Source organism: Homo sapiens, chromosome 10 (assembly GCF_000001405.40).
Source record: "Homo sapiens chromosome 10, GRCh38.p14 Primary Assembly".
In the NCBI taxonomy this organism is placed as follows: domain Eukaryota; kingdom Metazoa; phylum Chordata; class Mammalia; order Primates; family Hominidae; genus Homo; species Homo sapiens.
The window spans coordinates 125,847,594-125,873,031 of NC_000010.11; the positions used below are offsets into that span (position 1 = coordinate 125,847,594).

The window sequence follows — 25,438 nt, forward strand, 5'->3', positions numbered from 1 at the left end:
AGACCAGAGGGTGGAGAGGATGGTTGTGAGATGATTCAAGCTCGTTACATGTGCACTTTATTTTTATTATTATTACATTGTAATATATAATGAAATAATTATACAACTCATCATAGTGTAGAATCAGTGGGAGCCCTGAGCTTGTTTTCCTGTAACTAGACGGTCCCATCTGGGGGTGATGGGAGACAGTGACAGATCATCAGGCATTAGATTCTCATAAGGAGCGGGCAGCCTAGATCCCTGGCATGTGCAGTTCATAATAGGGTTCGAGCTCCTACGAGAATCCAGTGCTGCCACTGATCTGACAGGAGGTGGAGCTCAGGCAGTAATGCTCGCTTGCCCCCCACTCACCTCCTGCTGTCCGGCCCAGTTCCTAACAGGCCACGAACTGGTACCCATCACTGCCTAGGGGTTGGGGACCCCTGCATTAATGTATATACACATTTACATAAATGGACAGAGAAAAATGCAGTTATCACTTAGGAGGGCTGAAGGAGCAAATGAAGCTTCTGTTTCTGATTTATTTTAGGGTTGGGACTTGGGCATTGTGTAAAAGAGTCCACAGGGGGAGAAACTGAAGAATGAAGAGATGGTGTAGACCCTAAGACTCTACAATGTCTAGGGCCTCTGGGGAATAGCATTAAGAGTTGGCTCTGAAGAGGACAGGGAGGAAAGGCTTCTGCTTCACTTAATTTCACAGGGACATGTTCCCAAAACCTGGCATTTGCCTAACTCCTACTCCTTTACACTGTACATGGCAATTTTGCATAAACATCTCATTTGTACCTCTAAATAACCCCAGGATACAAGAGGGCAGACACTCTACCCTAATTTTACAGATGAGAAAAAGACAAGTGGCTTGCCAAAGCCACATGGCCACCCAGCTGTTTTGTCATATGTAAAGTGAGGTTTTGAACTTGGGCCTTCCACCGGCAGTGTTGAACCTGGCACCTGGCATGCTCTGCCAGCACAGCTGATGCTGGACTCCCAAGTCCAGTGCTGTTGCTGTTATCTGCCATGGCTCTTCCTGGCTCCGGCCCATCTCAGAGGCAATCTGGTGATGTCTCCTAATAACTGAGGGTCATTATCTGCTTCTCACACCCATTAAAACTGCTCTTTCTAGGACCCTCTGCAGCTCAGGGCCCCTGTGGTGCAGAGCTCAGGTAGGAGTCACTCAGACGATGACTGTGCTATAGCATTTACTATACACCAGTCACTTTTCTAAGGGGCATGCATATGTTAACTAATTTATCTTAATAACTCTATGAACCAATTGCTTTGATTATCCTCATATTCAGATAAATGAAGTGAAGCAATGAGAGTCCTAATTTACTGAATAATACCCCACTAGCAAATGATGGGGCCAGGCTTGGAGCCCTGGCAGCCTGGCCCAAGAGCCTGTGCCTTTTGGCATAGTCCCCTCAATATGGGGACCATCTACCCCAGTTTACCCAGGGCAGTATCTGTTTCCACCTTTCATCCCAGCTTAATCATTAATAGCATTCATGCCCCTGTCCCATGAAGTTCACAGGGACATGGTCAGTTTGTCTGAATTCATCGCAAAATAAACAGGTTCCATTAAGTTAAATTGCTGTTTTGTTTTGTTTTGTTAGCAGGGAGGGGTCACTCCTGCTGAGCCACAGCCATCTTTCCGCCTGCACTGTTGCACGCAAAAACATATCAACTTAAATGATAAGCCATATAGTTCCCAGGCCCACAAGAGCCTAAAGGGCTTCAGGAGCCAAAAGTACTTCCATTCTGGGCCCTTTAAAACCTCTCCTGGATTTTGTTTTCACTTTCTGTAACATTATTTACTTTATTGTTTCCAAGATCCTCACACACTGGCCCTGGAAAGTTGTTTTGGCATGTTTGCGTCTCTTTTTCACACCCCCTCATCTGAGTATAGTAGTAACTTTTGTGTAGCCTTTAAACAGATAATAGTGTAACCTTCATTAACTTAAAAACCTAGGCTGTGGCCTCCTGACAGTCATGCTAGAATATTTGCTCGACTCTCTGGGCTGTTTGGGCAGTGCCAGTCCTGCCGGTAGGTGTCAGGCACTGCGGCAGAGCTATGGGGAGGGCCACATGTGAGGGCCGTTGGCAGCCTGCTTCCTCCCATTCTCCTCTTAGTACATGTAAATGTTATATATAGTATAGTAAATGTTACGTTAACATTTAAAGATCATTTTGTAAATTCCAAAGCCAAATCTTGAGTTTCCAAGTGATTTACAAACAAGCGCATATACTTCTCTAGTATTCTTACAAACTGGGCTTTTAGTGTGGTAAATACTATTCCAGAAGGTCTTGATGAATTGGTTTAGGAATCCTCTGGTGAAAGATCTGCACCATCACAACAGATGACACCACTGTAGAATCTTTTGTTTCTCTTTTGAACCAGGGTCTTGCTCTGTCACCCTGTCTGAAGTACAGTAGCACGATCATAGCTCACTGCAACCTTGAACCCTGGACTCAAGTGATCCTCCTGACTCAGCTTCCCAAACAGCTAGTACTACAGGCGTATGCCACCACACCTGGCTCATTAAAAAAAAAAAAAAAAAAAATTTGTAGAGATGGGGTCTTGTTATATTGCCCAGGCTGGTCTTGAATTCCTGGCCCTCAAGCAGTTCTCCCACCTCAGCCTCCCAAGGTGCCAGGATTACAGGTGTGAGCCACCATGCCCAGCCCTGCAGAATCTTTAATTCCTCTTTTCACCAGAGCCATCCCTGGCCTCTGCAGCCTTTGACTTTCTTTTCTTTCTTTCTTTTTTTTTTTTTTTTTTTTGAGACAGAGTTTTGCTCTTGTTGCCCAGGCTGCAGTGCAATGGCGCAATCTTGGTTCACCGCAACCTCCACCTCCTGAGTTCAAGTGATTCTCCTGCCTCAGCCTCCCAAGTAGCTGGGATTACAGGCATGCACTACCATGCCCGGCTAATTTTGTTTTTAGTAGAGACGAGATTTCACCACGTTGGTCAGGCTGGTCTTGAACTCCTGACCTGAGGTGATCCACCCACCTCGGCCTCCCAAAATGCTGGGATTAGAGGCGTGAGCCACTGTGCCCAGCAACTTTATTTTCTTCCTGCATTTTCCCCTGTTTTCATGAGGCGTTGCCTTATCTAACGTGCCATGCCTGTTTGTGTTTGGGTTCACTTTTCTTTTCATAATCCAAAGAATCATAGATCATACCAAAGCCAGTCATCTGGCTACTACCAAAATGAGTTCTGCCTCTGAATACAAAGATGACCTCTGGTGTAGTCTGGTACCTTTTGGCTAGTTTTTCTCCAAATTTCTATCTAGGTACCACTGCCTTCCCAGGGTAGCGGCAGTCTCAGGCCATCTGTTTCCACTGAAGTGGTCAGCTGGTCCTGAGGCCTCCTACCCCAATGGACAGTGACTGTGTCATTCAGGATGGAGGTCAATTGTCAGGCAGCCAAGGAAGAAAAATACAACTGATTTTTTAAAAAGAGGTCCAGATCAGGGGAATTCAATTAACAGCCTGTAGCCTAGTTATGCCAAATTCATTTTCACATGGTTCATGCATCCTGAAAAGGGTAACTAGTTTGCTGGATTTGCATATTTCAATTATAAGTTGAATTAAATGCAGCAGCTGCGAGCATCTTTTTCTTTTTTTGCTTCCAAAACAATGAGTCAGAATTAATCCACAGTTATATTTTCCCCAAGCACAGCAGAAAAGTTATGTGTGTATTGTCAGGAGACAAAAATAAATTGTTACCCTAACCCTTTTGTCCCCCAGTTATCAGCTTTAAGCCTCATGGAATGAGCAGCACAGAGGGTGACTATTGAGAGAACACAGTGAGATAGTTTGCTTTTAAAAATCCTTGACATCACCAAGCCTTCCTTTTCTTCTCCCTGCATTTCTAGTCCACCAAACATCTACTACCCTGAGCAAGAAGATGCCTAGGAAATCAACAGGTGGTGATTCCTGGGCTTATGAGATGAACAGTGGGACTGGAAGAGCAATTTTCAAAAATGAAACCTATCTTGTTGGGGCTCAGGACACACCACCCCAAAATATGACTGGAGGAGACTAGAATATGCCACCCCAAAATATACTTCTCTGGCATATTTTGAGCTGGTTATTCTGAGAAACTGCAGACATAGGACTAGCTCTGAAAAGCTGTCACTTTGTAAAAGAAATCTACATCTACAAAGGAAATCTACATTAATAAGTGTGGTGGCTTGCACCTGTGGTCCCAGCTATTTGGGAAGCTGTGGTGGGAGGATCACTTGAGCCTGTGAGGTGGAGGTTGCAGTGAGCTATGATCACGCCACTGTACTCCAGTTTGAGCAACAGAGCAAGACCCTGTCTCAAAAAAAAAAAAAAAAAAAAAGAAAAGAAAAAAGGACAATTCAAGCTGCTGAGAATTCTTCTTTCTGCTGATTCACCCTTACGCTTCCATACTCCACATTACCCAGCTCCTTAAGCCCAGTTCCCCTGTGCTGCAGTGTCCAACAGCAGACACATTTCTCGTGTCAGAACAGTTATTTCCTAGAGGTTTGTGGGGTTTTAAAAATTACCTTCAGAGAATGTTTACCTCTAGCAGGAAAATGCTTCAGTCCAAACCAACGCCCCCTCCATGCTTGTGTGCATTGCTGCGCATCATGTGAACTCAGGACAGAGAATGGGCAGGAGAAGGTGAATCTCAGCCTAATGCCTGGCTGACATGGGAGCATAAGGCTACCTGGTCTGTTCATGAAGTCACAGTGGCCTAGGCCCGCAATGTCTATCCTCTTCATAAAAAGCACCATGCTTGTTAGGTTGGCTTCCTGCATTTCTGCTGGCTTCAGTGGCGTCATGTCTTTGGAGGCAAATTCTTCAGTGTACAGGCAGAAAAATTTTCCTAAAAGACACCAAGAAAAATGGCTTTAATATTTCTGGGTTGCCTGCATACAAGAATTGACAACATTTAGTATTTGTGTCCACAGCACTACCTGAAGAAGATGAGCCAAGAATCTGCTTGCGTATCTCTGCCTGGCTCTGGCTGATGGGCTGCATGACGAGCGAGTTTGCTCTTATTCTCGGGTTGTACACCTTTAAATGGAAAGACAGCATCATTAGCGTCAGATAAGTCATGATTCAGTAGGCTCACTGATCCTGAAGAGAATATGCTGCGCAGTACTTTACTCCATGAAATGCACTGCCACAGACTCATTTTCTTTGCACGATATTTATTATTGTTTCACTTGCCTTGAGATGGAAACTGCAAGTGCTTTGATAAATGGATTTAAAGGTTGTCTGCTTTCATTGTGGCTTCAATAACTATGAGACCTTTGTGTCATCTGCTGAAATACTAGCACTGTCACTTCTCAAAGCACTGTACTGGTGAATGATAACATATGCTCATATGTCACACAGAGAAAGGGTTCTCACCTGATAGTGCCATGTTTCTTTATAGTTTTGTTCAAATCAACCAGGATCTTGGTGGTCTCACCTTTACAACACATACTGAGAGTTCCAATCATAACAGCTAATACAGAAACTGCGTATGGCACTAACAATGATTTTCCTTACAGGTGGTTCACGGGGGCAAGTGACAGCCCTGGTTTCTCTGAAGGCTGGACTAATTCAATCAAGATCAACTCTAAGTGATTTCCAGGGAACCTTCATGACTGTTGGAATTGCTCTGTCATAATAAGTCAGGGATATTTAGGAGGCTCATAGTCTCCTGGAGGGATAAAACATCTCGGCACCTAGTAATGGTAAATTAGTCAATATTTGTTAGTTTCGTTTGAGATCTCAAATGTTAGGATTTTCTGAAGTCTCAGTGTCTTTCAGAGTTTGAGATACCTTGTTTTCATTTTTTCTAATTTTTAATTTAAAAGTAATAAAGAATATTTTGTAATGATTAGGATGAAAATTTTATCGTCAATTATAAGCCAAAATTTGCTAAAATTAAAGTCAGTATACTTGAAACAAGTTTCTAGTAAGTTCTCTGGGGTAAGATACTAATTACTCTGATAAAGGGGCTATCAAAAAAATCCAGTAAATTGTTCATAAGAAGAGATCAGTTTAAGAGTCAAACAATTTGCTTTGCTAGTACCTTAGCTAAAGAAAAAATACTATTAAAGATGACTATCACCTTTATGCTCTAGTAGTTGAGTCTTCCCTCAAAACTTTCTCCTTTGGCAGCTCAATCAATTTAATTCATTTCCAAACCTCCAACATGCTAATGGAATCAAGACTTTTGTTACTGGCTGCAATAATTCTTCTTTGCACTCATGACCAAATTCAACGAATCCCCAGGTCACATAGTTCATCCTCACTTCCTGATCAGTAAAATGGTAGGAAACTGAGAAACTAGTGCTTGACAACGATCAGCAGTCTGTTTAGCCTACTCAATAATAATTACCTTTCTTCTTTCCACACCCACATCGATAACAAATCTGACTGAGTTGCTCCAGATCAAAAACTCTCCAGAGCTAGTAGTTAACACCACTCTTCTTTGATAAACTTGGCATCTTTTTTCTGTTTCATCGAGTGGCTTGAACAATGAACATTTCTCTTTTGGATACAAAGGAACAACCACCAGTTCTCCAAGATCTGGGTTTAGGTTAGATCCTTGATAGACAGTTTCACAGACTTTCTCAATATCCTAAAGAAAAAAAAACCCATGAAAATAAAATACAATGCAAACAACATCACTATTAAAAAAATGTCTGAATTACAAAAAATTTTAGGCAATACTACGTAACAGATACAGGGAAAGAAATCCCTGTGTTGCTGCCTACATGTATCTTTAAATAAGTAAAGATGCACCTAAATGAGAAAACGTCTTTGGGGAAGTTAAATATAATTTATATTGTTTTCCCATTTAATTTTGTTAGATTTCACTAAAAATCTAAGTAAAAAAGATGACTTCCCACAACTGCCATAGTTTTTACAGCTCAATTCCATTCTCTAGGTCTCTAGCTTATGTCTCTTTCCTTTCCATACCATTTGTAGAATGGGATTGAATTAACTCAAGGGTTTTGTAGGAAGACAGATCCATCTAGAAAAATAGCAAGGTATCACAGGTCACTGAGAACTAGGTGAGCTGTGCTCGTTTCCTGGTCTGCTAAGTGGCTCCCAGGAAGCTGGGCAGAGGCCGCTCCAGGGGGTCCCACATCAGCTGGTACACAGGTACGGTCCCTTGCTTGCACTTCCTTTTTCCACATATAATTGAATTACTTGGGGCAGATTTTTTACCAAGCAAACAGCATGGCTGTTGATCCTAATGAGTGAAAACTTGCCAATTGGAATAATGAGAACAAAACGTTTTCTCCATTCTTATAATTCTGATTACTTCATTTTACTCCACATATTAAGGAAGGATTGTTTAGAAATTAAAAGGAAGGCCAGGAGTGGTGGCTCACGCCTGTAATCCCAGCACTTTGGGAGGCTGAGGCGGGCGGATCATGAAGTCAAGAGATTGGGACCATCCTGGCCAACATGGTGAAACCCTGTCTACTAAAAATACAAAAATTAGCTGGGCATGATGGCATGCGTCTGTAGTCCCAGCTACTCACAAGGCTGAGGCAGGAGAATCACTTGAACCCGGGAGACAGAGGTTGCAGCGAGCCGAGATCGTGCCACTGCACTCCAGCCTGGCAACAGAGTGAGACTCCGTCTCAAAAAAAAAAAAAAAAGAAATTAAAAGGAAAAGAATGAGTACTTGAGCTGAGCTGCATCCCCTGAACCTGGCTGCTGCTTGGCCTTAGGAGGACACGCATTCATTCCTCCCAGATGAGTCCATCAAGCAAGCTTCTCACTGGTGCAACTTAACAGCTAACCTGGATTTGGAAAGGGGTATTTGATTCCAGCAGCCCATTCATGAGCAATTTCCTATCAAGATAAACTGTTTTTTTTTTTTTTTTTTGAGATGGAGTCTCGCTCTGTTGCCCAGGCTGGAGTGCAGTGGCCCGATCTCAGCTCACTGCAAGCTCTGCCTCTCAGGTTCATGCCATTCTCCTGCCTCAGCCTCCCGAGTAGCTGGGACTACAGGTGCCCACCACCATGGCCGGCTAATTTTTTTTGTATTTTTAGTAGAGACGGGGCTTCACCGTGTTAGCCAGGATGGTCTCGATCTCCTGACCTCATGATCTGCCTGCCTTGGCCTCCCAAAGTGCTGGGATTACAGGCGTAAGCCACCGCACCTGGCCCAAGATAAACTTTTTATTGCACTGAAATATTTACTTTTATTCTCCTAGAAGATGTGGGAAAAATAATTATGGCCACTAATTCTTTATTTGGTTCTAGCTGCTAAAACTTTTTAGTCATAGGTGAATTCTTCGGTCTAATGCTCTCTCACTGAGCTATTTTGGCTGTCTTGTAAGTTGGTTCTAATGTTGAATTTTGTTCCAAATGGCAATAAAAAAGAATTTTTAAAATCTTCAGAAGGGAAAAAGCAGAGCAAAACAGAAATAGATAAATAGTTTAGGCTCCTCAAGCACAGCTGATACAGGGCTTTAAGGCCATAATCTGCAGAATTTGGGGCAGAAAAGCTTTAAAAAATGTGCATCTGGTACTTCAGACATTTTGTTTATTCATTTCCTTGATTCTTATTCAATGTATGTGGTTTATTTACATACGCATAACTTTCCTATAACTACCTGCACAGTTACGGAAAACAGCAACACCCACTGAAGGACGATATCTAGCAGACATCTAGCTCACCAAAAATGAAAGAAGATCCACAACTGCATAAAACATTTCCCAGGAAAACCTCCAACCTAAAAACACCTTTGTGATAGTTTATTACTGTACAGTAATCTGGCTACATATTATCGTAAATCTCAATGTATGTTTTCTGCTTATTTCATATTTTGTCTTCCGGTTAAAAGACAGCTAGGTGATAGGAAACAACACGCTAAACATTCAGGGCTCTAAGTCTCAATTAAGTGCCAAGACACAGGGCAGCCTGTGAATCACAGAGATTAATTCACAGCAGGTGTGGTGCTAGGCAAGTGGCTGGAGAAAATGTGACACACCTAAGGCAAATGCACTGCCGTTTCACCAAAATGTTTGAGAATATTTCTGTAATTTAAAACATACTTCTTAATATAAAAAATGGCAGGGCTGGGTGCAGTGGCTCATGCCTATAATCCCAGCACTTTGGGAGGCCAAGACAGGAGAACTGCTTGAGGCCAGGAGTTCAAGACCAGCCTGGGCAACATAGTTAGACCCCGTCTCTACCAAAAAAAAAACAAAAAACAAAAACTAGCTGGGCATACTGGTGCACACCTGTAATCCCAGCTACTTTGAAGGCTGAAGAGGTAGATGGCTTGAGCCCAGGAGTTCGAGGTCACACTGAGCCAAGATCACACCACTGCACTCCAGCCTAGGCAACATAGTGAGGTCCTGTCTCTAAGTAAATAAATACAAATTTTAAATGACAATTAATACATTTGTATTAGACTGGTTGAGTTTGTTTTCACATGATATTTAAGTGCTACGGTAGGTTTTAAAGCTTTATATAGAAATCAAGAAAGCATCAAATAGCATGGGGGGAAATGATCAATAGCTGTTAGCACTGATTTCGGTGCAAGACAAATCTTTCCAAGACACAAATCCCAATCCATAAGAGATGAGAATCTTAATGAGGGATCCTGACAAAAATAGTAAAAAAGAAAAGTCCATCAGTATACTGAATGGTGTTCTGCTTGTTAGGCAGTAGATGGGGTAAGGAAAACCAGATAACACCTGTGGAATCCAAGGCTGAAGCAGGAGAAAGAAACCTGGTGCCCAGGTAAAGTCTGCTGAAGCCAGCCCAATGTCAGTGGCTGGCTTGCTGCCCCACCCACAGGGCAGGTCGGCTGTTGAGCCCCTGAACAATGAGGAGCTCACCTTTAGAGGGTCCAGTGCTCCGCCTGGGTCACAGAGGCTCAGAATTACAAAATCCTCTGGTAGCTTTCATGGCACTCTCACTTTAAGACTGCAAGACTGATGGTTTCTTAATAGGAATGCCTTTCCAGCCTGCCTTCAGGGGAAATTACATACCTCTCCAAGTCCTGTGGCATTTACAGTTTCTACTACCAGCCTGGATAATGATGCATGTTCTAAAGTTGACAGTTCAAAAGTCACTCTACAATTAATTATAGTTTATATTAAACTTATAAGAATCATGTACTCTAAGACCATCTGCACCTCAGTTCTGTTATGAGCTTTATTTTCCAAGATCCAAAATCCATTTCCAAATCCATTTAGGAATTTTTGCTTACCCTGACTTGAAGGATTACACCCATCCTATCAGTCTTAATTGCATTTTTTTCTTGCAGAAATGTATATCCTGGTTTTTTTTTTTTAATTTTTCATTTTTTTTTTTTTTCTAGAGACAGGGTCTTGCTCTGTCACCCAGGCTGGAGTGCAGTGGTGCAATCATAGCTCACTGCAGCCTCAAACTCCTTAGTTCAAGCAATCCTCCCACCTCAGCTTCCTGAGTAGGTGGGACTACAGGCCTGAGCCACCATGCCTGGCTAATTTTTTAATTTTTTTGTTGAGATAGGGTCCTGCTATGTTGTCAAGGCTGGTCTCAACCTCCTGGCCTCACGTGATCCTCCCGCCTCAGCCTCCCAAAGTGCTGTCATTACAGGTGTGAGCCACAGTGCCCGGCCTACGTCCTGTTTTTCACCTGGCAATTCTGACTCTCAAATATATTAGATTTGCCATTCTTCCCTTCCTTAGGCTTCATCTGTTTACACTGAGAACCTCCAACTGTTTTCATAAATCCTATGTCTCCGTAATCATTTTATTATTTTCCTCAGGACTTTCTTGAATATCTTGAATCATGCAGGATGAGATGATAACAGAATAAATCACTGTAATAGGCAGATTTGCTATTCAAGAGAATGTATATCATATACATACAAAAAATGATAAATATGCAGTCATATTGAGGTTCTAGAAACAGATACATTTAAGAAAACTAAAGTTCCCAAAGCCAGAAGGAGCTGTCATCCTTTATGCTTTGAGTATAAAATAGAATAAATACTTCTGAAAGTGTTTCTGAAATATGTGGATGTTCAAGAAAAGGCTCTGACAGACAGCTGAGCCACTTATCTGTTCAGCTGTGGCTCAGCCTACATCAAATAATTTCCTTTTTGGTTTCTGTTTAATGAGTAGAACCACTACATATATGGGTCATGGTCTAAAAACTCATGCTTCTCCTCTCTGTGGGAGAAGACAGGGAAAAAAGGCCAGGCAATTAGTCTCCATGAAGAGAGGTCTAATTCTGGAGATCCTGGAGGCTTTTAGATTCAGCCAACAGAGTAGTGGGGAAAGAAATAGGGCCAGTGTAGCTGCAATTTAAAAAAAAAATGCAACCCCAAATGGTACCTTGGCTGTCTAAAAGCAGTAACAGAATGGAAATGATGCTTGATTGCACATTTCCAGTCATTCTTTTAAAGAGATGTTTTAAAGAAATCTGAGTTAAAGGTTTTTTTTTTTGTTTGTTTGTTTGTTTTTTTTTTTTTTTTTTAATCTTTTAAGAATGGAGCCCCAGTCCAGGGAGATGACCTTTTCGGGTGGGCTATATTTTCTGCCCATACTCCACTGACTATCACAGGACTGCTTGTGGGAAATGTTGTGTTACTTAACTCTATGGTGAGTGCTTAGGTAATAGTCCTGATCTCCAACAAACACACCTGCTCACAGGGAGGCAGTGGAGAATGTCAGGGGAGTCGGCATGCACCTACTGTACCAAGAGACAATTCACAGCAAGCATAAATAGAGCCAGCTGTGCCTTTGGGGCAGCCACTCTCTGGCCTGAGCCTGCTGGAGGGAAGTTGGCTCTGGAGATCATGTCTAGAGACTCCTCACCCATATTTTGTTTTCAGAACTGCATGTGATTTTAGAAACACTTCCTGTTCTCCTTTCAGCACAGGTTTTATTTAATGAGGTGTGATGAAACCAAATATTTAAACAGTTAATTAGCAAACTGAAACCTGTATGTTAGTTATTAAAAGCTTCCCAAATGAAATACCTTATTACTGTAAGGTTAGAGTATCACTTACTTACTTGTTCACAGGCCAGAAAGACTACAATGTCACCTTTCTCACCCGAGTGGTGAATTTCAAAGATAAGGCGTAAAATAGACTCAAAAGAATCCTTTTGAGCCTCACTAAGGTACACAACCTCCACAGGGTGTTTATTTTTCACTTCTATGACAGGCACGTTTCCATAATAAGAATTGAGTTTGCTGATCAGGTGAGGTGAGGAGTTAATTATGAGCTTCAGTTCTGGTCTTGCTAGTAAAACATCTTTAAGAAGTCCAAGTAACACATCAGTTGCAATGCTTCTTTCATGAATATCATCTAAGATGATGACCCCATAGCTACCCAAAAAAGGATTGGACATCATTTCTCTTTGCAGCATATCATCAGTACAATACCTATAAAGAAGAAACATTAAAGTTAGAATATTCTTATGCTAACTCATGCAAAAAACTTCCTAACAAGAAAAATGCCTTTCCTATATTCATTTCTCTAAATCAGTAACTCTAAATTTTTACTGGGGCCAAAATTCCTTTAAGTTGATACAATCTACAGAATTATAGCACAAAAAAACACAGATAAACAAGATTTATACCCAGTTTGTATATGTTCATGGACTGCCCCCTACAAAGACCATTCTGAACCCTAAGTTAAAGACCTCTGCCTAAATGTTTATTACAAATATTAATAAAAGCCTGCATCTAACTTTTGTTCTGAGCTTTATACATAAAAAGTAGTATCATAAAACACCCTGGTCAATTTTTCCTCTCGAATTCATCAATGAAAGAATTTTGAGTAAAATTATACACTTTTCAAGGAAAGGATACAAGAATAACCATCCTGGCTCAGGCTCATGGTCCTGCTAGCCCACTGTTAGGACAGACACTATTATTGGTGATTCACTGTGAGAGATGATATCATTAAGATGTCATCCAAATAATAAGCAAACAGAAGGATCTAAAAAGTAACCACCTATTTAAGGGCAGCATGAAAACTGGCTAGAATTCCTGGAGTGGGGAGAGGTCATTAGTGATTTTAATGGGCTTTTCCCATACTTCTTGGGATGATTTTTTAAAATTAAAATAACCACCTATTAGTCACTAAGCTTAATGAAAATAACTTTCTGACACTATTTACATATTTACCTGTATTACTGCTTGAAGAAACCAATCCCATTTTTTTTTTTTTTTTTTTTTGAGATAGAGTCTCGCTCTGTCGCCCAGGCTGGAGTGCAGTGGCGCAATCTCGGCTCACTGCAAGCTCCGCCTCCCGGGTTCACGCCATTCTGCCTCAGCCTCCAGAGTAGCTGGGACTACAGGCGCCCGCCACCACGCCTGGCTAATTTTTTGTATTTTTAGTAGAGACAAGATTTCACCGTGTTAGCCAGGATGGTCTCGATCTCCTGACCTTGTGATCCAGCCACCTTGGCCTCCCAAAGTGCTGGGATTACAGGCGTGAGCCACCGCGCCCGGCCCCAATCCCATATGTTTTTTACCCATTTAAGGTATTTACTTTTATTTATTCTTGTACATGGCAATTCTGAGATTGCTATCCTTCGACAGGCCTGCCTGCAAGGTTAGCCCTTGGCTAGCATTTGGGAACTTAGATTTGGGGAGGGTCCTCACCATTCCCAGAACTGATAAAGAGTAGTTTGCCCCGCCTGTAATCCCAGCACTTTGGGAGGCCGAGGCAGGCGGATCACAAGGTCAGGATATCGAGACCATCCTGGCTAACGCGGTGAAACCCCGTCTCTACTAAAAATACAAAAAATTAGCCGGGAGTAGTGGCGGGCGCCTGTAGTACCAGCTACCCGGGAGGCTGAGGCAGGAGAATGGCGTGAACTGGAGAGGCGGAGCTTGCAGTGAGCCGAGATTGCGCCAGGGCACTCCAGCCTGGGCGACAGAGCGAGACTCCCCCAGAAAAGAGTAGTTTGCTGTGCCTGAACCATTTGTACAGGCAATATGTTTTACGCTGCACATGTGCTTTCCTTCTGGGAGTCTGGAATTTTGAAACATACTAGGCAGAGGGTGCCTCTACGGCCAGCCCTCAATAAAAACCCTGGGCACTGAGCCTGAGTTTCCCTGGTAGGGCACCATTTCACGAGCTGTGAATGAAGTGCACGGTTTGTGACTTCACTGGGCGAGAGCTCGTGAGCTTGCGCCTGGGTTCCTGTAAACTTCGTCCCATCCACTATTTCCCTTTGCTGATGTTGCTTTGTATCTTTTCAATGCAATAAACCTTAGTTATATGTAAATAATATGCTGAATCCCATGAACCTTTCTAGCAAATCACTGAACCCGGGGGTAGTCTTGGGGATCTTGACACAGTCCTCAATTAACCTCTTTCAAGGAAAAAAAAAAAAAGGAAGTAAACAAACATCTATTAAGCACCTAGTGTGAGCCAGTCACTAAGCTGGTGTATATGTTTCTCATTTAATCTTCAGAATAAATCTTCAAAGTAGATATTGCTATCCCATTACTATGACTCATTTATAAATGAGAAAACTGAAGGTCAGAAAAATTCAGTACCCTGCCCAAGGTCACAAAGCCAGGTAGAGAGTCAAGATTTAAACCCAGATAGTTGTTCTATCTGTTGTCACTGTCAAATTATAACGATTGCTTCCTTGGCCTTGTAGTTTTGGTGATAAAAGTCCATGTTCTTCCTCTCTGGATCTTTATGAGATCAAAGTGTATGCCCTCTGCCTTTCTTTTCATACAGGTTCTCATCCTGTGTCTTTCAAATGAGCAGTGATAAATTGATGATTCCTTTCCTCAAACTTAGAAAATAAAGCATCTTGAATACTATAGTATTATACTTTGTGCAAGATGCCAACAGATGCATTGAAATCTAGTTTTCAATTTTTTTTTTTTTGCTGAGGCTAATTAGAGATTTAATTTCTAATGTTATCTCTGTTTCCTTTTCAGCAAAACTCACCTAAGCACTGATCTTATAGGAAGTAATGCTGCCCCATAAGATTGAGGAGGTTTATGTGTTATGTAAATACATCTAGGCTTAATTAAAAAAAAGAGAAGATGCTAACTTATTAAAAACTCCAGCAGACTCATCCAGCAAGGCCTAGCCTTACAGATGATTATATAAGGGAATTGTGAAGGCTCAATCCTAAAACTTACTATACAAACCCACATTTTTCTGCAGTCCCACCTACTTGGGAGGCTGAGGTGGGAGATCACTCCAGCCCAGGAGGAGTCCCACATTACAGTGAGCTATGATCCCACAACTGCATCCCAGTCTGTGCAATGTGAGCAAGGCTCCAACTCAAAACAAAGCAAAAAAAAAAACTACTTTTTTTCTATATAACACAAAGATATGTTTCTGAACTTTATGGTAATGAGATATTGTGTGTATGATACTTTAAAAAGTGCTGTTAACTAATAAGTACGTAAAAAAAATAGATACACTACCAAGGTTTCAGGAAATGCAGTTTATATCTTTAAATTAAGGCTAAATTTCTAAAAGCTAAGACTATAATAAAATAAAGTTTTATTAATATTTATATTTTATAAAATTATATAATTGAGTTTAACCTTAATGAAAATTTGAGAATTTTCCAGTTCTAAAAACAGAAAAGACCACCATTTGACACTATGAGTCACTTCTATGAGATATCTTGATATGTAGTTCCTAAAGACTATTTTAGGTATATAATATTCAGGTATTCACTGTTTCAAAAAAGGCCAGAGAAAAGCTTAAAGAAGAACAAAGTTGTTACATATAGCATCCAAAAAATAGTAGTAGGCTTAAAGACAGTTTACTAATTGCCTATGATGTGTTTGATAGATACTAAGGGGCTACCAAAAAAATGAAAAAGACAGTATCAAATATAGACTACTGCCTTCTATAATCAATGATCAATTTTTTTTTTTTTTTGAGATGGAGTCTCACTCTGTTGCCCAGTCTGGAGTGCAGTGGCATGATCTCGGCTCACTGCAAGCTCTGCCTCCTGGGTTCACGCCATTCTCCTGCCTCAGCCTCCTGAGCAGCTGGGACTATAGGCACCTGCCACCACTCCCAGCTAATTTTTTTTGTATTTTTAGTAGAGACGGGGTTTCACCATGTTAGCCAGGATGGTCCCGATCTCCTGACCTTGGGATCTGCCCGCCTTGGCTTCCCAAAGTGCTGGGATTACAGGCGTGAGCCACCGTGCCCGGCCAATCAATGATCAATGTTAAATCCTCTGATTTAAATAGCTATTCAATCTGAGCTTATTCAAAATTATGGCTAGCATACCTCTTCAGGAAAATCAATCTTGTTCTAATCATAATTATAAAAATATAATTATAAACATAGCTACCACATACATACACCATGCATCAGTTACATAAATTTAATAGTCCTCACAACAACCCTCAGAGCAAGTATATTAATCGTCCACATTTTTCAGATGAGGCAACTTAAAGGTCAAAGAGGTTAGGTGACTTCTATAAGGTTACAAGTGAGTAAGTGGTGGAGACACCCTTTGACAGCCATGTTGCCTCCTCTCCAGAGCATGGAATACCAGGAAGAAAACAGGTGTTGCTTTATTTTATCATAGGGGTCTTTTCAATAGCTCTGGCCTCTTTCCTGTGACTCAAACACTGTTTACCACAATGCATCAGAGTATCTTCTGACTCTGCGCTGGTTCTGGGGGCATGTCACAGTGGAAAAGAAAGTACAATGTTCAGAAGCAAGAGTAACTGTGAAGTGAAGATATGAAAGCAATGAAGAATAAGGCAGCCCAGCAAGGGCAGAAAGAAACAACCTGCAAAACCTGTCAAAGCAGGAAGCTACTCTCCACCTGTCTCCATGGGTGCCTTTGTACCTCAGCCCACCACACCTGAAGCAACTGTCCCTGTTAAGAAAGGAATGCCATACACAGATTGAAACTAATACATACTTTAATATATAGTATTTCCTTTGGGTGTCAGAATTGAATGCTTGGGTTTTTACCATAAAACAATCCTAAGCCTAACATGTGATAGATGTTTAAAAGGTGAGGCGTGTCTAACAGTATTATTAGATTTCCCCACCATTATTTGTCTTTGTGGCTTTCCATATTAAGAAGTATCTTAGGCTGGGTGCGGTAGCTCACGCCTGTAATACCAGCACTTTCAAAGGCCGAGGCCAGCAAACTGCCTCAGCTAAGGAGTTTGAGACCAGCCCAGGCAACATGGCGAAACCCCGTCTCTACTAAAAATACAAAAAGTTAGCCAAGTGTGATGGTGCATGCCTGTAGTCCCAGCTACTTAGGAGGCTGAGGCACGATAATCGCTTGAACCCGGAAGATGGAGGTTGAAGTGAGCTGAGATCGTGCCACTTCACTCCAGCCTGGGAGACAGAGTGGGACTCTGTCTCAAAAAAAAAAAAAAAAAAAAAAAAAAAAAAAAAAAAAAGAAAGAAAAAGAAATATCTGATTCCATATCATGACAAAGCTCTTATAATATCTCATTTTAAAAATGACTACATTAAAGAATCCTTTTAAAGGGTTTTCAAAGTCTAGATGGTATTAAAGATATAATATTAACTTCAGAACCTAGTCAGAGCCATCATTTAATTAAAAACATAATTCAAAGGGCTACTTTAAAATGTCAAACCAACCAACCAACCACAAATCTGCTTAGGGATCCTTCACCCTTTCAGGGTCCTATGTCTTGTCCTGTCCAGCTCTTTAACTAGTTTGTGAGCTCCTAAGAACCAGAGAGGTTTTTATGTTTCTTTTGTACCACTCACGTACAATTTACACAATCAGCAATTTATAAATACATAGTAATTTAATGACTCAGGGACATAATTGTTATAATAACAGAAGGTAATATATCTTCAAGAAGTTCAAGTCAGAGTGCTGATGGTCTAAAGACTTTCCCCTATGATTTGACACTAGCCTGAAGACTGTCTTCTACTTTTGAAGATAAACGTTTGAGGGAAAGTAGCTTAGTACAAACCGAATGAGCCCCATGGGCTTTCTTTTTTTCTGGGACAGGGTCTCACTCTGTCACCCAGGCAGGAGTGCAGTGGCGCGATCACAGCTCACTGCAGCCTCGATTTCCTGGACTCAAGTGATCTTTCCGCTTCAGCCTCCTGAGTAGCTGGGACTATAGGCATGCACCATCACGCTCACTAATTTTTGTATTTTTTGTAGAGATGAGATCTCACTGTGTTGCCTAGTCTGGTCTCAAACTCCAGAGCTCAAGCAATCCTCCTGCCTCGCCCTCCCAAAGTGCTGGGATTATGGGCATTAGCCACTGTGCCCAGCCCCATGGGTTTTCTGAATGGAGATAAGAACCGCACCAGAGTGCAGTGCTAGCTGGGACAGGGCAAAATCCCTTCCACTATCCAGTTTACCGAACATCCTCCTGGGGATGAGCACATGAGACACTAGGGATATGAGCACGTGAAAAACCATCCCTGCCCTGTTACAGAAAAGCAGAGCTTCCCCAATGCTGTGCGTGGCACACTGTATGCCACACAAATGGGTTAGAGAGGTGCAGAAATACTGACCCCGAGATACTTAGCTACTTGGCTCTTGGAGTGGTCGGGCAGTGCCCGGGGCAGCTGAAGCCCGTGGGATGGTCAACTCTGGCTCCAGGCAGCTGTGACCATTTCCTTGCGGTACTGTATGGATACTATCACTTTCTATGATGGCTGTAATATAAAGGTGCTTGAGAAGCACTAGCCCAGAGCAGTGATTTTTCCAGTTTCTTTTTCCTTTTTTTTCTTCTTTCAAGCTCTTGGAAATCCTTCTTCAAAGGAAATCTCATAATGAAGCTAAGCACAGAAGAGATACCACAACTTGCGGTAGCCACAGAGAAGTCTCCTTGGAACATAGAAGACTCTGCAAAGCACAGTTTGAGAAACACTGTCGAAGCTGCTATGATGCAGGCTGACACCAAGTTTTCCAGAAGCCCCACAGAGGGTTTTCTAATGTGTATTACTGGAGGGGCAGGGAAGCCTTCCTGGAGTAGGTGGCTGCTACACTGCATACTGAGTGACTAGGAGGAACTAGCCGGGCCCGGACATGCTGAGCACAGGGAGGGGCAGGTGTACAGGCACAGGGTGTGGAAAGCACAGGGCACACAGTGTGCTCCAGGTGTCCATGTGGCTTGCACACAGGCAATGATGTGGACCCTGCATGAGGCATAGCTCCAGAAGCACACGCTTGAAGGTTCTGAGGGGCCAAGCAAGTTGTTAACTTTTTCCAGGGGATAATGGGAGTCATGGGATACATTTAGACAAGGAATCCCAGATGATGCCAGTGTGGGAAAGCAACTGTTGCTGGCTGGCTGATGACAGAGACCAGTTGCTACTGCACAGCATAGATGCTTAACAGGTAGAATGCCAGAATAATGCTCCTTCAGAATTGTAGAACCTAAGCCAAGAATCATCAGCAGGGAGCGGACTGAACCCCACAAACCAACCTCAGGATTGTTTCGTTGGTACAGCAGTTCTCGAAAGGGATCACGTAGCCAACCTCATGACCAATGTTAACATCCATTTCATCCGCCACCCGCAGGGCGAGCTGGACCACAGTCTGCTTGTGGACCTGTGTGCATATCACGCCCCCGTGCTGGTAGTGGATGGAAAGACAATATTCAGCACACCACTGAGGAACCTGTAGCAGGAAAAAATGAGACAGGATCAGCTTCTGCTGAAAACAAAACAAGAGACATCTCTGTCTTACAGCAGGGTTCATCTTATAAGTGATTTTCTTTCATCAGTAAATCAGCAGTGGGCTGTATTACATCTTACTTAGTGAAACTCTGAACAATATGGATTATGCACAGAGTTACTGCTAGGAAATAAAGTTAAGAAGAAACAGGAGTTAACAGGGACTGTGAAAGTTTGACTGCCAGACAAAAAAAGGCAGATAAAAATCAAGGACAGGCCGGGTGTGGTGGCTCACGCCTGTAATCCCAGCACTTTGGGAGGCCGAGGTGGGCGGATCACGAAGTCAGGAGATCGAGACCATCCTGGCTAACATGGTGAAACCCCGTCTCTACTTAAAATACAAAAAATTAGCTAGGCGTGGTGGCGGGCGCCTGTAGTCTCAGCTACTTGGGAGGCTGAGGCAGGAGAATGGCGTGAACCCGGGAGGCGGAGCTTGCAGTGAGCAGAGATTGTGCCACTGCACGCCAGCCTGGGCGACAGAGCAAGACTCCGTCTCAAAAAAAAAAAAAAAAAAATCAAGGACAAAAATGAAAAAAAAAATACTTTCAACCTCAACTGTGTTTCTGAAAAGACTAATGTATTTAGAGATTATTTTCTTTTTGATTAGAAGGCCCATCAAAAATATGGCTTCTGTTATCAGCTATTGTGTTTTAAGCAATGTAAATTATAGATAGCATTTAGATAAAAACTAGTGACTCAAAATTAAAGCATTTATATTTAAATCCAAATGATGATAACAAATATCCAGATAAGCCTACTTAACATTTCTCTGATAATAAAAGCTAAAATATCCTGGTAATTTACAATCTAAATATAATTAAATAAATAAACCCATCTAAATAAACCCAGTGAGATAATCAACCAACCCATCTGGATTTGGAGTCAGTTCTAAGCAAAGCTACTCTAGAGCCATTTTATTTTAAAAATCCTTTTTTTTCTAAAATATATTATGGACCAACTGATGTTTATCACATTCATTTGTACAAGAATTATTATAGTAGAATGTACTGAATTCATTTGTATGCTACAATCTTAAGGCATTGTCAGTAAATTATGCATTGTTACATGCATTTTAAAAATAAATTATTCCAAGAGTGTTTTTAATTGATCTAAGGAATTTAAACGTTGTAAAATTTCTAATTATCTTGAGGTCTGCTATTTATGAGATTCATTATGAAATTCTTAGATCTGAATTCTCACTGTAATTTGAAAAATAAACATAACTCACCAGAAATACAAGTAACTCCAAAATGAATGACTGCTGTAGACTGTAAATTCCTAAGGACTGAAAGGCAAATGCACTTCCTGCACTTTCAGATAGGTGTCAGCCTTGTCAACAGGTTGCAAGTTATCAGTAATTATTTACTCAACGCTTACTTTGTTCTATGAAAGATGAAATTTTAAGATACTGCGCTCAGGAAACGTGGAATCAAGGCAAGATCCAGGAATAACAAGCCACCTAAGGGATTGGCTTGCCATTAATTTGTTCCATGTAAACCACAAATTTTCTAAGCTTTAGTTAATTCTTACCTGTAAAATGAATAGACTGAATGAATGAGAATTATCCTTCAAGTTTGAACTCTGGTGTCGTTTTCTCCACAAGGCTTGCTGTGATCCCCTAGGTATCTAGATCCACGGTGTGCTTCCCACCGTGGCAGCCATCACCTTCCTGAGGTTGCTGTTTGTTCCTAGTTCCCCACTACCTAACGGCCCCTCAAATGAGCTCTAAAAGCAGAGACCTATCCGTGTTGGTCACCAAATTATCCTAGTACTCAGTAATTATTCATTGAATGAATAATTTCTTATACTGTCTAGAAATAATTTAAAATTCTGTGATTCTACATAGTTTAAGATTCTACATCGTTTAAGAATTTACATAAAATTTTGCCTCCTTTATTCCTTAGCAAGTAATTTTTTATTCTTGCCAAATTCTTACTTTTAAATGGATTGCCTTCATGTCAGGGTCCACTATCTAGGGTCCCTAGCCAAGACCTCAAACATCATTCATGTGAAAAGCTATATTAAAACTACTTGTTTTTAAAAAATTTTCTTTAGGCCAGGCATGGTGGCTCATGCCTGTAATCCTAGCAATTTGGGAGGCCAAGGCAGGTGGATCACCTGAGGTCAGGAGTTCAAAACCAGCCTGGTCAACATGGGGAAACCCTGTCTCTACTGAAAATACAAAAATTAGCTGGGTGTGGTGGCGTACGCCTATAGTCCCAGCTACTCAGGAGGCTGAGGCAGGAGAATCGCTTAAACCTGGCAGGCAGAGGTTGCAGTGAGCTGAGCTGGCACCACTGTACTCCAGCCTGGGCGACAGAGTGAGACTCTGTCTCAAAAAAAAAAAAAAAATTTCTTTAGTAGAGACAGGGTCTCGCTCTGTTGCCCAGGCTGGTCTCAATTGCCTGGGCTCAAGTGATCCTTTTGCCTCAGCTTCCCAAAGTGTTGGGATTACAGATGTGAGCCCCTGTGCCCAGCCAAAACCCTTGTTTGAATATGATTCTCTGTCTCTCCACTATGTGGGAAGATCCTTAAGCTACACGTGTGGTTTGCATTTGTTCCCAATACCGAACAGAGGATCTGACATATGGTAGGGATAAGAGTTGAGTGGAAAGATGGATAAGGACATCATAATAATTGAAAAGAAGAGAGAGAAAGGCTTGGGCTTAGTGCTAAGCATGGGAGAGAGGTAATAAAACCACGGGAAAATTACTGCAAAGGAAGAATAAGCAGTGCCCACTAACAGACTAATTATGCATAGGAAGAAGACAAATATTCTATGATTTCTAACTTAAAATACTAATTATATAATTGACAAGAACAGGAAATTGGAAAGTAAAATAAAATAAATGAATGAAGCTAAAGAGCAGCATAAAGTTCTTTTGGGGGGAATCAGGAGTTAGGAGGGTAGGAAGATGACCTTCAGGATAGTCAGGAAGATGGTCAATGTTATCAGAAGAACATCCAGGCATAACCATCCTGGGATCAACGGAAAAGCAAGGCAGGAGGCTAAGGGAGAGGTCAGAGCTAGAGATAGGCATGGTAGTTGCAGAATTTCAGTACTGAAAGAAATCTCTGGAAGACATGAAGGCCAACACCCTCATTTGATGCATGAGGAAAGAAACTTAGAGGCGTGACTTGTCCAAGGTCATACTGCCAGTAAACAGCATGACCAGAACCAATCCATATCTTCTAGTTTCTTGGCGAGTATAATTGCCACTACATCACAGTTGCTTCTAAGCATCTTTATAGAAAGGTGGCAACTGAAGCCATGAAATTCTCAGGCAATCAGCATTTTAAATTACTCTTTCTAGGCTGGGTGCGGTGGCTCACATCTGTAATCTCAGCACTTTGGGAGGCCAAGGCGGGTGGATTATTTGAGAGGTCAGGAGTTTGAGGCTAACCTGGCCAACGTGACGAAACCCCATCTCTATTAAAAATACAAAAATTAGCCAGGCGTGGTGGTGGGTGCCTGTAATCCCAGCTACTCGGGAGGCTGAGGCAGGAAAATCACTTGAACCCGGGAGGCGCAGGTTGCAGTGAGCTGAGATCACACCACTGCACTCCAGCCTGGGCAACAGAGCGAGACTCTGTCTCAAAAAAATAAAAAATAAAAATAAATAAATAAACTACTCTTTCTAGCCTAATGGCAACATCAGGGGGACAGTACTATGATGACAGTGGGCACTGCTTTACATAGCTAGAATCGTTGCTGAAATAATACTATCCAGTTTTATTAAAACATTTGGACACGTTCAGCCTGGTTATTCATATAAGGTCCAGGACAGCTGCTTTCGAACTCTAAAATTCGACAAGATTCCAATGATCATGAGCCATGTTCTCAAGCTTCTGATTTGGGCCTTTTTTAAAAACTGCATTTAATTTATTTCTCTTTGCTCATGAAACACATTCTGCAAGATTAGTTTATTACAGTGTGTTGATAATAGTATAAACATTATACATTCCTGGAAGTACAACAAATATACCAATCCAACAGTCTTCATTTTCCTTTTCTGCCTTCCTCTACATTAGAGCAAACTATTTCACCTATGAGGCAAAGACATTAATTCAGAAATGGGAAAAGGCCATCTAAATATCAGTTACAATAACCAGTAGAAGACTGAACATATCCATATCGTGCTTAATGTAGGAATGTTTGCTTACGTGCCCAAGTTAATAGTTGAGCAGAAGTCACAACAAATTATACTGCACGTACTCAACTGTGGCTCTGACCACATAGGATGCAGCTCCCCTTCCAGTAACAGCTACTTGGAGATAGTTAACAGTAAGCAATGCAAACACAAACTGAAAAGGTTATCTCCAGCCAGAAAAGAGGGAAACATGAAACCATCTGCCTTATTTGTTAGAGTTCTCCAGTTTTACATGCCTTCTGAATCACTCTGGGCAAGCTAAGTAACATACTGAGGGTTGATTCCTTAGCAAACTTGAATTACTGGCTAAAAAATGTTATCATTTGGCAAATGTCGATAATTTGAGTATTTCACATTTCAAGGGATACTGAGATTGCAGCTTTACAAAGAACTCTTGCCTTCTCTGCATTTATAGTAAATATTGTATCTCTTGTTGGTATTGACCTTTCTTCCCCTAGTTCTGCTTCTTTTCTTTTTTTTTTTTTTTTTGAGATGGAGTCTCACTCTTGTTGCCCAGGCTGGAGTGCAATGGCAGGATCTTGGCTCACTGCAACCTCCGCCTCCCGGGTTCAAGCAATTCTCCTGCCTCAGCGTCCCAAGTAGCTGGGATTACAGGCACGCACCAGCACACCTGGCTAATTTTGTATTTTTAGTAGAGACGAGGTTTCTCCATGCTGGTCAGGCTGGTCTCCAATTCCCAACCTCAGGTGATCCGCCCGCCTCGGCCTCCCAAAGTGCTGGGATTACAGGTGTGAGCCACAACACCTGGCCTAACTTTTCTGGGTACTACTTAGCAACTTTTTCATTGTCCCAGTTGCATCTTTGTCTTCTCACCAATGACTTACAAGCCTGTTAGAGGTTTTGTTTCTACCCCATAGTTCCTCTTTGGAAGATATTCCCCCCTAGTATTAAAAAACATTATTCTGGATGGACTAGTTGCCAAGTTGGCACTATGGGAATTAGAAAAGCTTAAATAGTTGTACCTTTCTATGAATCATTTGGCTTTAACTTTTTTCAGAGAAACATTGAATTCTGGGTCACTTTGTGACTGAGTACTTAGCAAAAGTTGCACAATATGGTGAAGAAACAGAAAATTGCTCCTCTAACACATAAAAAAAGCTATTTTCATGTGATTTATCCTGGGAGTTTGGTGATGTGCAACCCTTGGATTTACGCATTTGGTCTGGAAATGCTCCCTAACTAGAAATCAATACTTCACATCTCTTTATTCTGAACTCACCAAATACTTTTTTCATGTTTCTCAATCCATTTTCTAAATTCAGTTTTCTGTACTTCTGATGTGCCATTTGCATAAAGCCAGAGCAGTGGGGCCTGCCCTATGCTCTGTCCCAAAGCCCAGCTGGAACTGACTCTGGGGCATGCAAGGTAAGCAATCGAGGCATGAGAATGTGCATCCCTGGCCTCTTACCGCCTACCTGAAAGGAAATCACCAACACTCTGGCCAATCTGCTGCTATGAGAGTAGGTAAGAGGAGTCCTCCGGGTAATCAAAATCTAATCTAAATCAAGGCTTTATCAACCTAAGTTAGCAACTGCAGTTCTACAACTTGTACAAATTCAGACAGTGAGGCAAAGATGCTCCATTCCCAACTCCGGGCAGCACACAGAGGTTGGGCTGCTG

General features: G+C 41.7%; 2 protein-coding genes across 6 annotated transcripts in view, besides 1 other annotated feature; one reads left to right on the plus strand and one right to left on the minus strand.

The window, feature by feature from the left end:
- The window catches only part of BCCIP (BRCA2 and CDKN1A interacting protein), a 30,150-nt gene extending 24,048 nt beyond the window's left edge, over positions 1 to 6,102 (plus strand). The window contains exon 8 of the mRNA NM_016567.4: positions 5,532 to 6,102. Within this exon, the coding sequence (NP_057651.1) occupies positions 5,532 to 5,650 (119 nt within the window). The 3' untranslated portion in view covers positions 5,651 to 6,102. The remainder of the gene's footprint in view (positions 1 to 5,531) is intronic.
- The window catches only part of DHX32 (DEAH-box helicase 32 (putative)), a 60,149-nt gene that overhangs the window by 11,257 nt on the left and 23,454 nt on the right, over positions 1 to 25,438 (minus strand). For 3 of the 5 annotated variants that reach the window (XM_047425470.1, XM_047425469.1, NM_018180.3), the window contains 5 exons: positions 19,397 to 19,590; positions 12,010 to 12,382; positions 6,368 to 6,610; positions 4,950 to 5,049; positions 4,700 to 4,858 (listed from right to left, as the gene is read on the minus strand). In XM_047425470.1, the coding sequence (XP_047281426.1) occupies positions 4,700 to 4,858; positions 4,950 to 5,049; positions 6,368 to 6,610; positions 12,010 to 12,382; positions 19,397 to 19,590 (1,069 nt within the window). Of the gene's footprint in view, positions 1 to 4,552; positions 4,859 to 4,949; positions 5,050 to 6,367; positions 6,611 to 12,009; positions 12,383 to 19,396; positions 19,591 to 25,438 lie in introns of all 5 variants that reach the window. The other 2 variants (XM_047425468.1, XM_047425467.1) reach the window with 1 other exon arrangement.
- Positions 5,778 to 5,957: a silencer, noted in NCBI's record as "fragment chr10:127541940-127542119 (GRCh37/hg19 assembly coordinates)". NCBI's record gives its function as "represses an EF-1alpha promoter that drives an FKBP-Casp9 reporter gene in an ReSE screen in K562 erythroleukemia cells {active_cell/tissue: K562}" and the evidence as "EXISTENCE:reporter gene assay evidence [ECO:0000049][PMID:32094911]".